The 15,344-nt window shown below is 34.2% G+C and overlaps 1 protein-coding gene across 18 annotated transcripts in view; it reads left to right on the top strand.

Annotated features, from left to right (window-relative positions):
* The window catches only part of SCN1A (sodium voltage-gated channel alpha subunit 1), a 164,521-nt gene that overhangs the window by 83,143 nt on the left and 66,034 nt on the right, over positions 1-15,344 (top strand). For all 18 annotated transcript variants that reach the window (NR_148667.2, NM_001353949.2, NM_001353958.2 and 15 more), the window contains 5 exons: positions 7,331-7,449; positions 9,519-9,608; positions 11,253-11,381; positions 13,076-13,167; positions 14,031-14,300. Coding sequence is in view for 16 of the 18 variants with exons in the window: in NM_001353949.2 (NP_001340878.1) it covers positions 7,331-7,449; positions 9,519-9,608; positions 11,253-11,381; positions 13,076-13,167; positions 14,031-14,300 (700 nt within the window). In the remaining 2 variants the exon portion in view is untranslated. The remainder of the gene's footprint in view (positions 1-7,330; positions 7,450-9,518; positions 9,609-11,252; positions 11,382-13,075; positions 13,168-14,030; positions 14,301-15,344) is intronic.

The following is a 15,344-nucleotide window of genomic DNA, read 5'->3' as shown; positions in this document are numbered from 1 at the left end:
TCTCTTTTGTGTGAGCATATGGCAACAATGTTTAAAAACTGACTGTGAGGCATGGAGTCCACAGACATGTTTTGTTAAACTAACAAAATTATTTATAATTTTGAATTATTTTCTGGCATTTATAAATCAGAAAATCTTTCACACACTCATAAAATTATACATCTAAGGATTCCTCTTGAAATATGAGTTCAGGCATCACTGACTTATATGCCTAAAACTGGCAGGTACCTATTGTCACTTAGCCTCTGTGGGCATTTTAGTTTGTAATCTGTGGCTTAAGGACCACATCTGTCATTAAGTGAAGGCTATATATTAAAGCTTGGTGGCCCACGGGTAGGCAAGTGACACAGATTGTTGTTTAGTCTGGTTATCACTGGTTGGAAGGAAAAAATTGAATGAGACTAGGAGATGAAAAAATATTAAATATGGCATACTCTCTTCAGAGTCAGGTAGAAAGCCTGCAAGAAAACTTTTCATCCCCCAGTGAGCCAGAAAAGGAAGAAAAGCTTGGCTTGAACTCACAGGCTATGACAAATGAGAAGGGAAGTAGGTGAGACCATTTAAAGTCCTTGGGGAAAAAATATTATATACCATGGAATTGACCCAGCATAAGAAATGTCCCCAGAGATATGTATTATACTAATGGAATCTCCTGACCATCTATGCTGCTCTTCACACCCAAAACTTTGAAGCATCTCTCCTCTTGCAACATGGCTCTAATTCTCCCCCTTCATGCTGGAACCTCTTTCCAAGCCAGCAGCTTAGAGCTATGAAAAACTTAATAGCACTTCTGGGTAGGAGCTAGAGCCAGATAATTTTCCTGGTCTGACTTCCAGGCTATTTCAAGGACAGAACTCTGCCATTTTCAGAGTAACACTTTCTTACACATAGTGATAAAGTTTCTCAGTGCCATTCATTCAGAATTGTACTTCATTAACAGTTTGATAGACCTGTGGGTCTAGAAATATATGTGTATCTGTGAGAATATATGTTCACATTTCCAAACAATTGACTTCCAAATGCATTTCTGGAGCACAGCTCATGTACAAGTTGGAAATTGCCTGTTTCAAACTTTGAAGCTAAAGGATAAATTTAACCAACCAGTAGTATATTCTACATTTTGTGTATTGTTCATCATCATAGCTCACCTTCCTGTGTTATTTCTTGTTTTTGCCAGTAGATTTACTTTAAGAGTAGGAAAGTGCAATAAATTTGGAGTCAGTCCTGTTATTTGGCAATGTTTCAATAATGTTTAGATGAAACACAAAGTTACAGCTTATGTTTAAACTATGTACTTTGAAGAATATGGCCCCTAGATTGAAATAAATGTTAAGGTAATGGCTATATTTAAATGAGAAAAAGAAACTGGAAAACCATGGCTTGTTAAATTCAATGTCCATCCTGGGAAAAAATTGTAAACAAATCACTTTCTATAAGCCCAGAAACAAGAAAAGATTACTAGATAATAACAAATATAGCTTCATAAATAGCAATTTCTACCAAATCATTATAACATAATTATTTTCTTAGTAACTATTCAGTTAGATCAAGGGGCAAGATTTCAATCCACATGTACAACATAATCATTGATAATTTGGCCAATGGTTTGTGATTTTTTACAACCATTAGGTAACAAACATATTAACAGCCCTGCTATGACAGAATCATCTGGATTACTTATTTAAAGTATAAAAACTAGGTATCAAAATCTGACCAGCTAAATTGGAATCACATTACCTCTATGAGCTAAGTACATTTATTCTGTTTTCAAGTGAGATAACTGAGTCACAGAAAGTTAAGAAACCTGTTCCGGATCACACTGCTGGAAGGCAGCAAAGTTAGCTTTTGAATCAGAAATCTAATTTCAGAGTTTGCACCCTTAACATAAGATAAAACAAATCATACTTATATTTTCATAATGTTGCTTCCCAGATTATTAAACTGTTAATTACCAGGGTTATTACCAATTTTTCTATATAACTTCCTTCTTGCTTTTTCTTTAAAACCAGAAATGATTTTTACATGGCAAGGATTGCTGAAGAAGGTATGAGCTTGCTGAACAATGGATGGTTTAAGTTTAGGTCTGTGCTGCCCAATATAGCAGAGATTAATTAGCCTTGTGTAGCTATTGAGTATTTGAAATATGTAAGTGTAACTCCATATTTCAAAGATCTAAGACTTAGTATAAAAATATACATATCTCAAAAATTTTTTATATCAATTTCATTCCCAAATGATAATAATTCAGATATGTTGGGTTAAAGAAAATACTGTTAAAATTAATTTCACCTGCTTTGTTTTTCTTTTAATGTGGCTCTCAGGAAATTTAAAATCATAACTGTAGCTCAGATTTGTAGCTTACATTATATTTCTGTTGGAAAGTGCTGGTCAAGGTAACCTTCATCAATTCTTCTATATTCTATTAAAACAAATAGTTGAGCATCTCCTAGTTTATAAATGTCTTGGTGTCATAACCTATGTATCTTTGTTTTCTCTTTAGAATGTAGCACAGGGCATTGCAAATATTGTACTAAACAGTTAATACATGTATTCTGAATTGCCATCAATTGAAATTAACAATTGGACCTAAACTAGGTCCCTGCTCATACATAATTACCAACTTATTGTATATATGCCCAATAAACTTGGTACCTGTATATGAAGACATAAGTGACAAGCTAGAACAACCCTATTGTATGAATGTTACATTCCTGCAAATAAGTCTGTAAAGTGATTTTTCATATATAAAATCTAGTTGTTACCTCAGTTACAATGCCATGCTTCAACATTTGTTTTGAAGCAGAAAATTATCCACGTGTTAAAATGATGTTATTAATTTCAAACAGTTCTATTTCTTTGTAGAACTGCAATTAAAGCATTTGTTTTGGCACTAAAATGAACTGAAGGACAAATATTAAGAATAGTCATAGATGTGCCTGAATTGTACTAAACCACAAAGTCTTGCTGCTTGTAAGTGGAGCCAGTCATGTCAATGTTCCTATGAGCCTTGGGTGGTAAAAAGGGGTTTGTTTTGGGCTAGATACTACTGTATAAACCTTTTCTCCTCCACCACCAACTTTGAACTGTTTCTTTTTTATTCAAATGACTTAATGCAATAAAAGTTATCCTGATAAGTTGTATTAATGAAATCTTTGTTGAACTAATTAGATTTAAAGGATGCTAAGATACTTCACTATAATAAGCTAACCAATACATTCTTTTAAAAAGTTTTTAAAAAGTCACCCAATTTAATAGTTCATAAATCTTGATTAGCTTAAAGCTACACAATATTTGTTTATACAGTTTAAGGTACAGCAATATCTTAGCTAGTCTTTGAACTCTTCCCTCTTGGAGCCCTTTCTTATACGTATAGCGGGGAAGGCAAATATTTATATATTTGAAAACTCTAGAGCTACTTAAGTATTTGTTGTAAGCAAACAGTATTTCCTTCAGACTCTTCCCTCCCTTCAATATCATCAATGCCACTTTTGGGAGAAAGCTGTATCTGAGAGTCCTTGGAAACAAGTATCCTTTTATTAATTCTTAACACTTATAAACTGAATGATCGGCTTCTTGGCTATGTAAGCAATTACAAGGAGGTAAGATACAGACAGTTGAGGAAATAAACAAACATAAGATCAATTACATATAATAAGACTGACATTCTAAATGGAACTTACTCTGACATGAAAGTGCTATCATATTTAAAATTATACATATTGGGTTGCTATACAAGTCTGGGTACTGTTGCTTTATTGGAAGGCTGTTTAAAATCCATCAATACCTTAAAGCTACATCTATGAAGTTTGTACATAAGCATGTATGTTTCAATCTGAGAAAAATGGAGTTCTCACAGAAGAAATCCTATGAAAAAATGGTCCTTTAATGTTGGCCTTATTGTTAGCTTCCTGGGTAGCAAGGATGTCTTGCACAACAGTATGTCTTATGAAAAATTAAAGCAAAACAAATACCGTTGTTCAGTAAAAACCTTACCAATTCCATTTATAAATTCAACTTGCAAGTATTTTCCATTGCACATATAAATCTTGTTACCAAATAATCTTCTACACATTCTTTAAATTTTTAAAATGAATAAAGGGAATACACTGTAAAATCAGTAAATGTTTTCATCTAAGGCTTGAACAATTGATAATTATGCCCATTTGTTTTTAACTTTTGTGTCAAAGTATTAATTTTCTCTATGTCAAAGGACTTTTAGATTTAGAATCACATACCAACATTGAGAGTGCTTTGGTTTCATTAAACTCATCTTACTTAGTTTCAGCCCTTTATACCTCCTTTTATCTTATTTTTTAAATTGACACGTAATAATTGTACATATTTATGAAGCATATAGTGGTTTTAATACATATGATGTATAGTGATCAGATCAGAATAATTAGCATATCCGTCATCTCAAACATTTATCATTTTTTGTGTTGGGAACATTCAATATCTTCCTTCCAGCTATTTGAAACTATATAATAAATTATTTTTAACTGTAGTCATCCTACAGTGGTGTGGAGAGCTAGAATGTGTTCCTCCTATCTAGTTGTAATTTTGTGTCCTTTAACAGATTTCTCTCTGTCCCCACCTTTCCCCGATTTTTGTCTAGAATCCTCTGCTCTTTTTACTTCTAGGCAGACTTCCTTTTTGGAACCTTTTGTGTTTGGTTTCTGAATCTTGCCTCTTTTACTTTTTAGTACTCAGGGCAGAAATATTTCCCCTCCCTTCTTTTAGATCTCTAGCTTTGCCTTTTACTTTACCACTCCTTGTCTGTCTTTTCTGTTTTGGTCATTTATTACCTCTGGTCATGGTTTGGGCTGAACAGTGGCCAAGGAGCCAGCATCACAGGTGTTCTCTTCTAAGTATGGTCCTGTCTCCTTAGGATGAGCCTGGTTATTTTCCTTATCCACGGAGGTACAAACAGTACCATCTTGATTATCCTCACACTCCAGCCCATGATTTAGGCCATCTATGGATTGTCATTTCTTTCTCATTATCTCTTTGTATCACTACTATTTGTTTCAAAATTAGCTTTTAATATTATCTGAAATCAAGAGATTCTTATTTTAAAATATATATATTCTGTGTTATATTTTTACTGGTTCTCCTACCTGTGCCCCTAATATTTCTTTTTCTTTTTTTCAGATGGAGTTTTGCTCTCATCACCCAGGCTGGAGTGCAGTGGCGCGATCTTGGCTCACTGCAACCTCCGCCTCCTGGGTTCAAGCGATTCTCCTGTTCTCCTGCCTCAGCCTCCCAAGCAACTGGGATTACAGGGACCCACCACCAGGCCCAGCTAATTTTTTTGTGTGTTTTTAGTAGAGATGGGGTTTCACCATGTTGGCCAGGCTGGTCTCAAACTTCTGACCTCAGGTGATGTGCCCACTTTGGCCTCCCAAAGTGCTGGGATTACAGACGTGAGCCACTGCGACTGGCCATCTGAGCCCCTAATATTTCTTTCAGATTTTACTCAGCATATCTGGGGGGAAAGGAAGTATATGCAGTACATTTGAAAGGTGGACCATATTTATTCCTGAGCTAGCTCACTTTGGGCCTTTCTGTGTCGTTACATGCTCATATTCCCCCACAGCAAAGGCATTTGCATTGCACAAGTCTGTTCAGATTTACGATGATCTCACAATGTCATTCAGGGACAGAATCCCTCAATGAATCAGAGAAAAAGAGGGCTAAGTATTGTTGGCATAGGGGATTGTTCTTCTAGTAAGCACAGGTGAAATTCTCCCTTCCTTCAAATGCGCTTTGTGGTAAAGCTCTATCTGTTTTCTGGACTCATACTCCTTCAAAGATGATAGAGGGAATGCAGGCAGAGGTGAGACTTGGAGCAGTGCTTCTCAAACTCTGTTGAGGATGTGAGGTCTCTATTCTTCTATAAAATGAAGTAAAAATTAGTTTCTAGAAAACTGAAATGAAAAACAGGCCCACAACAACATCCCCCTACTTTTTTATTATTAGAATAGACAGACACAACATTAATTGGCCAAATTGCCTTACAAATTTCTAAACATGGACTCTCCATATCTATACTTAACCAGTACTGGTTGGGGGACCATACTTTCACAGCCAGTTTAGGACACTTCTACCCATACCAGATAGAAAGTGCTTAATTTTCAAAAACCAACTCCATTAGCAGGTAGGGGTGTGGGAGGGTGGGTTTGCTTTACTTGAATTTAGAAAATCCTGCAAGTATAGGGGAAATCTGTTAATGAGCTAAGACTATACAAAGATTCTTAGTAGAAAATAAACATAACATTTATGCTTGCTGTATCATAACATGATCTGTGCAGATATGCATCCTAAGGCTTAGAAAAGAAAGCTTTCGAAGAATGGGTGAATTTAAAATCAAGAAGCTTAAAATTTCCTTCCCCAAATATGCTCTTCACAGAGATAAAGGCTTTCTCCCTGGCTCTGTCTAAATATAAGTAAGCACCTTGGAAAACATTGAGTCAGAGCCCTTTTTATACCCTTACATGTTGCTTCTTTAATGTTTTGTCTGCCCACTGCCAATTGATCTCAAATAAGTCTAATTTTTGGAAGGAATTTCATTCACATTCATGGATCCTGGATTCTTCAGGAGCTTGGAGCTTCTCCTCTGTGATAAGAAAGCACTGCATAAGATAGGAAGTCAATTGGGATTAGAATTCAATATGTCAGCTAACTCAGAAATCCCAGTACAGAATTTAGCACTCCTGGTCAACGGGTACTCTCCAGGGATCTTGGCCTCCAGAAATCAATTATTGGATTACATCCATCTAACCCAAGAGTGGGTTTGATGGTGGCTGTTTTTATTTTCTATTACGAAGAGAGTGATAATGTTTATTTTATGAGGATAGATGGTAAAAACAATCTTTATTTCAAAAATAGTATCAGTTCTGTTGAATGATTTTGCGTTCCACAGGATTAATTTTCAAGATATTTGAATTGGGAAAGCTGAAATGACTATAAAAAGCATGTAGTGCCTTAAGTTTTTTGGAATGAAATGAAATGTGCACCCATTTAAGACTTTCATTTAACTCAGACACTTAAAATATCGAGAAAATAAATGACTTCTCTTGGCTAATTGTCTTATGTACAATAAAATTGAGGGTAAGTATTAGGTAAAAGGTAAGTGGTATCATTGGATTTCCTCTCTAATTAAGAAGAGATCCAGTGACAGTTTGTTTTCATGGGGCACTTTAGAAATTGTGATTGTGCTGGTTTCTCATTTAACTTTACAATAATTTATTATGACAAGTAACAGAAAGTAGATAACAGAGTTTAAGTGGTTTATACTTTCATACTTCTATGTTGTGTTCCTGTCTTACAGACTTTTATAGTATTGAATAAAGGGAAGGCCATCTTCCGGTTCAGTGCCACCTCTGCCCTGTACATTTTAACTCCCTTCAATCCTCTTAGGAAAATAGCTATTAAGATTTTGGTACATTCATATCCTTTTTCAAGTGATTAATATTAACTATTTGTACATGATCTGTAAGCACTTTATAGCTAAATATCAAATTAAGTTGGGAAATGTCCATATTATATAGTTTTCATCACTCTCATTTTGCATCTTTGTCATATTAGCCTCATTCTTAAAGTTCATTAATCACATAGACATTACTGAAACATGTACTCTTTAACATTTTATATATTATATATAAACATGTATTTATGTACTTTTGTTATCTTTCTAAAAACACTTATATGTATTGAATCCTACAAATCTAAAGTAAGATAACCATGTTTACCTCTACCATCTTTATACAAAGTTTGTGATGGTGTAGAATTTTCAGTGAGCAATGATATGATAACAGAAAAATCTACTTCCAGACTCAAGTTTATCCATAGTTATGATATAAAACACTTCAGTGTATCTTAGAATAAACCTTTAAGTATATTTTCTGTCAGAGAATGTCAGGAGTCTTTGGCCAGTACTTAGTTAATTCTTGAAATTTCCTGATGATTTTTGTGAAGGAAGTACTGGAATATTGGCTGAATTTCAAATTCAAGTCATGAGTTATGATGCTGCCATGCAAAACTGTTTGCTTAGTAAAGACTCCGGAAGTTAATGAGAGAAGTTGGCATATATTTCCAAATGGTCTTAAGGGATTTGGTTTCATGATTCCCATTGGTGTTAAAAAGGACTCCACGACTAAATTCATTTGTTAATCAATTTAGGAAAACAATTCACTTCTGATTGTATCTTGTTTGATAGCTTTGACAATAATAGATATTAAAATACCATTATAATTATCATAAGCTCATACTTTTTTTTAAAGGATTCTAAAATTTGAACGGCCATTCTAATTTTAATATGACAGCAAGAAATTTCTTTAGTGGTATAAATATGCTATTACTAAAATTAAAAGATTTGAAACATAAAAATCATATGATAGGGTTTTTATACTTAGGGAAGTTTCCTTGTCCCAGTTTGTATTCCTAGCGCCATCATGTGGTCATTTGATGAAAACTTTCTTTTTCAATTATGGAAAATTTTTGTTTTGGCAGTAAACTATAGTGGAAAGAATATTGGATCTTAATGTAGGAAACTTATATTCTAGTCCTGGACCCTTTATCTGATTCCTCTAGAGCTTAGTAAGGCCTTATTTCCCTGATTTTTAAAATATAGTGATAAACTAATTTTTAGGGTCCCTTTCAGTTTTATAATTCTGTTATGTCTGTTCATTTGTTTTAGCTACCACTTAGAGTATATTTACTTACGTACCGTGACTGTTCCAAGCATTTCCAATACATTAACTCATTTAATCTGCATGTAGAAATGGTTACATTACAAAATGAGTACATTATTAGCTCCATTGTAGAGAAGTAGGAAGAGATACAAGGCAATGGCACAGAGAGGTTGAGTCTCTTGGCCAACATCACTTTGCTATGTTGAATTTTAATTACATTCCCATCATGTTAAGTGTCAACCTTCAAGAATATTCACTTTTAATGTTATCGAATCCTGCTGCACTTGTATAAACTCAGTCAAAATAGAGCAACCCAACAATTAGCATCGTGCTGTACTTTGACTACAAATTGTTTTCATGCGTTGAACTGTGTTGGATAAGATGTGTTTAAGAAATTACAATATTGCAGATAAGTGGCCTTCCTCAACAATTTACTAGTTTATTCACCTGAATGAGCTCAAGTCAATACTTTCTGCTGAAAAACTGTGCAACTCCAGGTAGCACAAAAATAGTCTTCCCACTGAAGTTCTCTGGGAGGTGAATATATTGATTTAATAATAGTTGTAAAAACAACACCTTATACTGATATAATGCTTTCATATACATTACCTCATTTAATCTATACAAATACTCAGTGAAGGTGATATTATTACCCACATTTTACACATGAAGAAATTGAAATGTAAGGAGATTAGAAGACTTGCCCACAATGCATTTATCCCTGAATTTTGGCTAAGCTGCAGTTTGGGCTTTTCAATGTTAGCTTTTTGTAATATAACACTTGGATTTTGATTTTCTTTTGTGTGTTCCTTAACAATAACCTACATTATTCAGCATGCTAATTATGTGCACTATTTTGACAAACTGTGTGTTTATGACAATGAGTAACCCTCCTGATTGGACAAAGAATGTAGAGTAAGTTCAACTTATATTTTTAATAACATATATACATTTGGGATTTTGAAACTGTGTCTTAATGTAGTCTTAAAATAAAACTGAAGAGCATTTTATTAAAGTCATTCCTAGACAAAATTACGCAGCAAGAGGACAATGCTCATTGGCCCTCAGGCCTGCTGGCGTTATACTGATTATCACTCTCTTTTGCCTGTACCTGGTGTTCACCTGAAGACCACCACTCTTGGACATTTACCCCTTTTTCTTTAAAATCTACAGTAGCCAAACCAAATGTGGTCAAAGCAATTGCAGAAAAGAGCCAATATGGTAGACATTGGTTCCAGTTAAATTCCAGATAAATACATTGAATCAAGAATCAAAAAGGGTTAGTTACAAATGCCATGTGAAGACAACATTGAACCTCGCAAAGTTTTCATTTCCATCAGGCACATTCACTTCATGTCAGGCCAATATAGTTCCAAGCGTGGTCACCAACAAATTGAAAAATAATCCAAAGTTTCAGGGTTGTAGAACTTGAAAATTCAGTAGACTGAAGACTAAACTAACAGAAGTGGAACTTTTTGTAGAGCTTTCAGAAACCAGAAGCATTACTAACTATATTGATGATCTCTCTGTTCTGGGGATACCTTCGAAGCACAGAGGCCAGATTTGTGATAACTGAAGTTGGGCTACTCTAACCATAGCTGCTCACCTGCCCACACTTCCTATTTGTAATGCCTGTTACTATACAGCTGCTGACCCATAGCAACTACAGAAGTATTAGGTTGGTGTAAACATAATTGTGGTTTTTGCCATTACCTTCAATTGAAGCTAATGTTTGCACCAACCTATTTCCAAGAGTGTCCACCAACATTTGCACCAACCTATTTCCAAGAGTGTCTCCTTTCCTAGACACTTCCAGGCTGAAACCAATAAGAAACATGACATCTTGAAGAAAATAATAAATTTTATATACAAAAAAATTCTAAAGTATTGAAGCTAATATGGGAGGCCCCACAGGTTTTCAGTCGCCCTAGTTTTCTTGTGATTTTATGCCACTCTCACACCCCAATTTCTGAGTAGAAGATTTAAACTTTGGAAACACCTAAGTTTCTGAATTATCAGAAGAATTTTATTCTAAATTAAATTTTTACTTCTTATAACCCTAGAAGTATTTACTTTGATTTTAAAGAAGTCCTTGTTCCAAGCAAGTTAAATTATCTTGTAGAAAAAAAAAAACACGTGCTAATTTGTCAGTTTCCTCTCATTCTTAGAACACTATTAAACTTGAGATTTTTTTCCCTAAAAGAAAATCATTTCATGCTTCTGCAATATTATTGATTGGCTATTCCATCATGTAAACATACTAAATATTTCTCAGGAGACTATATTTACATAAATACCAAGACATTTCAGACAATGGCTAAATAGATTTCATATACCTTGTATTTCTCACACTACTCTTAAGACACTTTACGAAACAACTCTTTGTGTTAGGAAGCTGAATTTAAATTTAGGGCTACGTTTCATTTGTATGAAATTAAAATCCATCTGCTTAGTTTTCTTTTTTAGTATTTATCTATTCCACTGATGGAGTGATAAGAAATTGGTATGCTATGAAAAAACACTGTTACTTTATCAAATTTTTTGGATGCTTGTTTTCAGATACACCTTCACAGGAATATATACTTTTGAATCACTTATAAAAATTATTGCAAGGGGATTCTGTTTAGAAGATTTTACTTTCCTTCGGGATCCATGGAACTGGCTCGATTTCACTGTCATTACATTTGCGTAAGTGCCTTTTTTGAAACTTTAAGAGAGAACATAGTTTGGTTTTCCATCAGTGCTTATGCTTTTAAGAATAGGTTTGCTTTACCTGTAGAATATTTTGGTGTGATTTATACATTCAAACTCTGGATTTCAATTTAGCACAACAAAGGTCTAAGTGGAATTTCACTATAGCATGAAGGCTTTGCAGTAGTTGAAAACTACAATTTTCACACGTAGCATCAGTCAGAAAATTTCACATATGCCACTCTTCCACACACACATGCACAAACACACACACATATGAACACACACAATCTAATGTCAAAACACAAGCATATTTGTAATACATCTGTGAAAATAACTTTAAAAATTACAGCCACAAAACAGTTCTATTGGCTACACAAATTTGCAATGACCTTGCTGATATTACACACAGCTTCTTTTATTGGTTTGGTAAAATAATTGAAAGTAAGTATCTACTAGCATCAAAACGATCTGACAAATCAAACTAAGAGAAGAAAGAAGATACTTGAAATATTATGTTTTTAATATATTAAATTACTGATTTCTAAGACCTGTAGAGGAATACATTCTCTCTGCCTCTTTCTGTTTCTCTCCTGACCCCTTTTCTTTCTTCTTTTCTTCTTTCCTTTTATGGCTCTCTTCATCTCTTTAGTCTGAACATAAACTTCCTTATCCTTATCTCCTATTCATATCCACTCAGTAATATGCACAGTTTATGCACCCCAATGCTTTTTTTTCTAGTGGCAAACTTCCTCAGGAAGAGACCCAGAAAAATAATAGAAAACCATTCCAGACTAAGTGAAAGTAGAGTGTAGAAGGAGGCAGCCCAACAACACTTACCCTCATCCTTCCTTCAGGAGCTGATTTTTTGGCCTCTAACAGTTGTGATGTAGTGGATAGGAGCAGGAGAGGTGGCACTGATACACTCAGGACTCCGAATGTCTGGTCTTAATTTCCTATCTGATCAGGATGAGCCAATTCTTTGCTAGGCTCTCTGGTCACAGCTCAAAAGAAGGCCTACAGGACTTCTATTTCTTAAGAACAAAATGGCAGTAACAATAGGCGCAGCATTGGACCCTCATCAAGTATTGTTCTTAATTTGCTTAACTTTTATTTAAAAGTTACACTAGGAAAATCTTATCTCATATATAAAAGCAGTAAGGCAAACTGCCTTTTCATGCCTAAATTTCTGTTGGGTGATTTCATATATTTTTTTCTAACTAAAACCCTAAACCATAGCCAAGATTTACTTTCTTTTTACAAGTTACACATGATGTTGGTTGCATTGCTTTCCAGAGTGACAACAAGGGTGTCTACTTTATGAAGTTTACATTTAGCTAATGGCCTTAAATTATGTGAACAAAGATTAATGATGGAATCTAATTCCTGATTTACCACTTATAATATTTATCATTTAAAATCACCAAGAAGGTCTTTATAAAAGACCCATGCAAGTAATATAAATCCTGCTAAAATCTTGAATAATTCTGATTTAATTCTACAGGTTTGTAACAGAATTTGTAAACCTAGGCAATTTTTCAGCTCTTCGCACTTTCAGAGTCTTGAGAGCTTTGAAAACTATTTCGGTAATTCCAGGTAAGAAGTGATTAGAGTAAAGGATAGGCTCTTTGTACCTACAGCTTTTTCTTTGTGTCCTGTTTTTGTGTTTGTGTGTGAACTCCCTATTACAGGTACGTCACAGAGTTTGTGGACCTGGGCAATGTCTCGGCATTGAGAACATTCAGAGTTCTCCGAGCATTGAAGACGATTTCAGTCATTCCAGGTGAGAGCAAGGTTAGATAATGAGACGGACCCATCATGTGATTCAGCATCCTTCTCTGCTTGACATTCAGTTTTACAGAAAATCAGGAATCATAAGACTAGGTGTTTCAAAGAAAATGATTCTTATTGTTTAGACATAAGCTTTATCAGCCTTGGAGTTTAACAATGTCTTATGTGAGATACTGTAATTTGAGGTCAAGGTGACCTGCACTTACAAATATCATGGGTTTTTTTTTTTTTCACCATGTTAGTTTTATCGAGAATTTGCTCCCTTTTAAATGTACCAATCTGTAATTTCTTATTCATTAGAGTCATTAATGACTATGTGTATACAATGCAAATCTTCTAAGTTTTTTGCTAACAAAAGAGAAGGGAATAAGACAATAAAGAATAGTGTGAGTCTGCATGGAGGATTTATTATCTTAAGGCACAATTATACTGCAGACCATTTTCGGTTGTACAGCAAAATCTTTCCTACTTATAAATAGGAATTTTAAAATATTTATTCAGGTATTTTGTTATAAAACTGACCTCTGACCCTAATGAAAATATGAGACAAGTTTCAGTAGCAAAAAGGAAAAAGACAAGGCCCTTTCCTTAATATAGGCTCCATGAAGAACATGAACCTTCCATTACTCTATCTCGACATAATGGGATATGAATCTTCATTTCATTGTTTAAATCATTACATTTCTGGAGTTTATCTTCATAAGTTCTTCCCCTTCAATGAAGTGTTGCTTCTCCACTAGCGTTGCAAACATTCTTGGATTTATGAATGAAATCTATGTTTTCAAGAAAATTGTGTGAAGCTTTTATTATTTCACACGTGTTAAGTCTTCATAGTAATAGACTTCTTTCTTTCAGGCCTGAAAACCATTGTGGGAGCCCTGATCCAGTCTGTGAAGAAGCTCTCAGATGTAATGATCCTGACTGTGTTCTGTCTGAGCGTATTTGCTCTAATTGGGCTGCAGCTGTTCATGGGCAACCTGAGGAATAAATGTATACAATGGCCTCCCACCAATGCTTCCTTGGAGGAACATAGTATAGAAAAGAATATAACTGTGAATTATAATGGTACACTTATAAATGAAACTGTCTTTGAGTTTGACTGGAAGTCATATATTCAAGATTCAAGTAAGAATTATTGTTATGTACATTTCCTTAAAAAGTAGAATTGGATTGTTTGTAACACAAAGGATAAATACTTGAGGGGCTGGATATCCCATTTTACATGATGTGATTAGCACACATTGCAGGCCTGTATCAAAACATCTCATGTACCCCATATATAGAAACACCTACCATGTACCCACAAAAATTAAAATTTAAAATTTAAAACTAATGAAATAAATAAAACACCCTCTAAAAAAGAATTACTATCATGTATATTTGGTCTTTTCATTGCTAATGTGCCTTCCATCTAGGAATGAAAAATATTTTTAAATGATTACATAACAAGACGTGATCTTTTAGAAAATTACCTAATCAAACTATTTAACAATATTTAAAATTATATTTTATTTGGTATTTCTACCCCCTGGATTTTAAATAATAGATTATTTATATTTCTGGAACTAAAAGAAGAATTTTGTTAATCACCTTATCAATGGCTTCCACATACATTTAACAACTTTGTTCATAACTACTCTAGTTTTGACTCCTAAATGCCACTTTCTATTTTATCATCATTTGGAAGGCTGAAGAATTCAGCTAGAAAGAATTTTCCTAGGATCCTTGGTTGCTATACATTCTTCCTGTGGTGATTGATATAATGAAAGGAGATAAAATATGTGAATGCCCTTTGCGAATTCTACAATACTATGCAAATGTAACTCATTATACATTAATTACACAATGTCTTTAATGTATCAGAAACTGTATAGTACACTGGGGAAAATAATGGAGGTAATGCATGGCTTCAGAGTGTTATAGTTTAATAGATTATTTTATTACCTTAAGGAAATAAAGTGATACCTAAAAGTAAATCTTATTCTTATATTTAAAAAGTAGTATTACATTAAAAAGAAGAAAATTACAGTTAATAAAGCTTCAGGAGACAGTAATAGAAAATGTTAGTTGGGTGCAGTGGCTCACACCTATAATCCTAGCACTTTGGGAGGCTGAGGCTGGAGGATCACTTGAGGCCAGGAGTTTGAGACCAGTGTGGGCAACATAGTG

This window comes from Homo sapiens, chromosome 2 (assembly GCF_000001405.40).
Source record: "Homo sapiens chromosome 2, GRCh38.p14 Primary Assembly".
NCBI classification, from domain to species: domain Eukaryota; kingdom Metazoa; phylum Chordata; class Mammalia; order Primates; family Hominidae; genus Homo; species Homo sapiens.
Note: the sequence above shows the minus strand (reverse complement) of the source record. Positions and strands in the feature narration are given on the sequence as shown.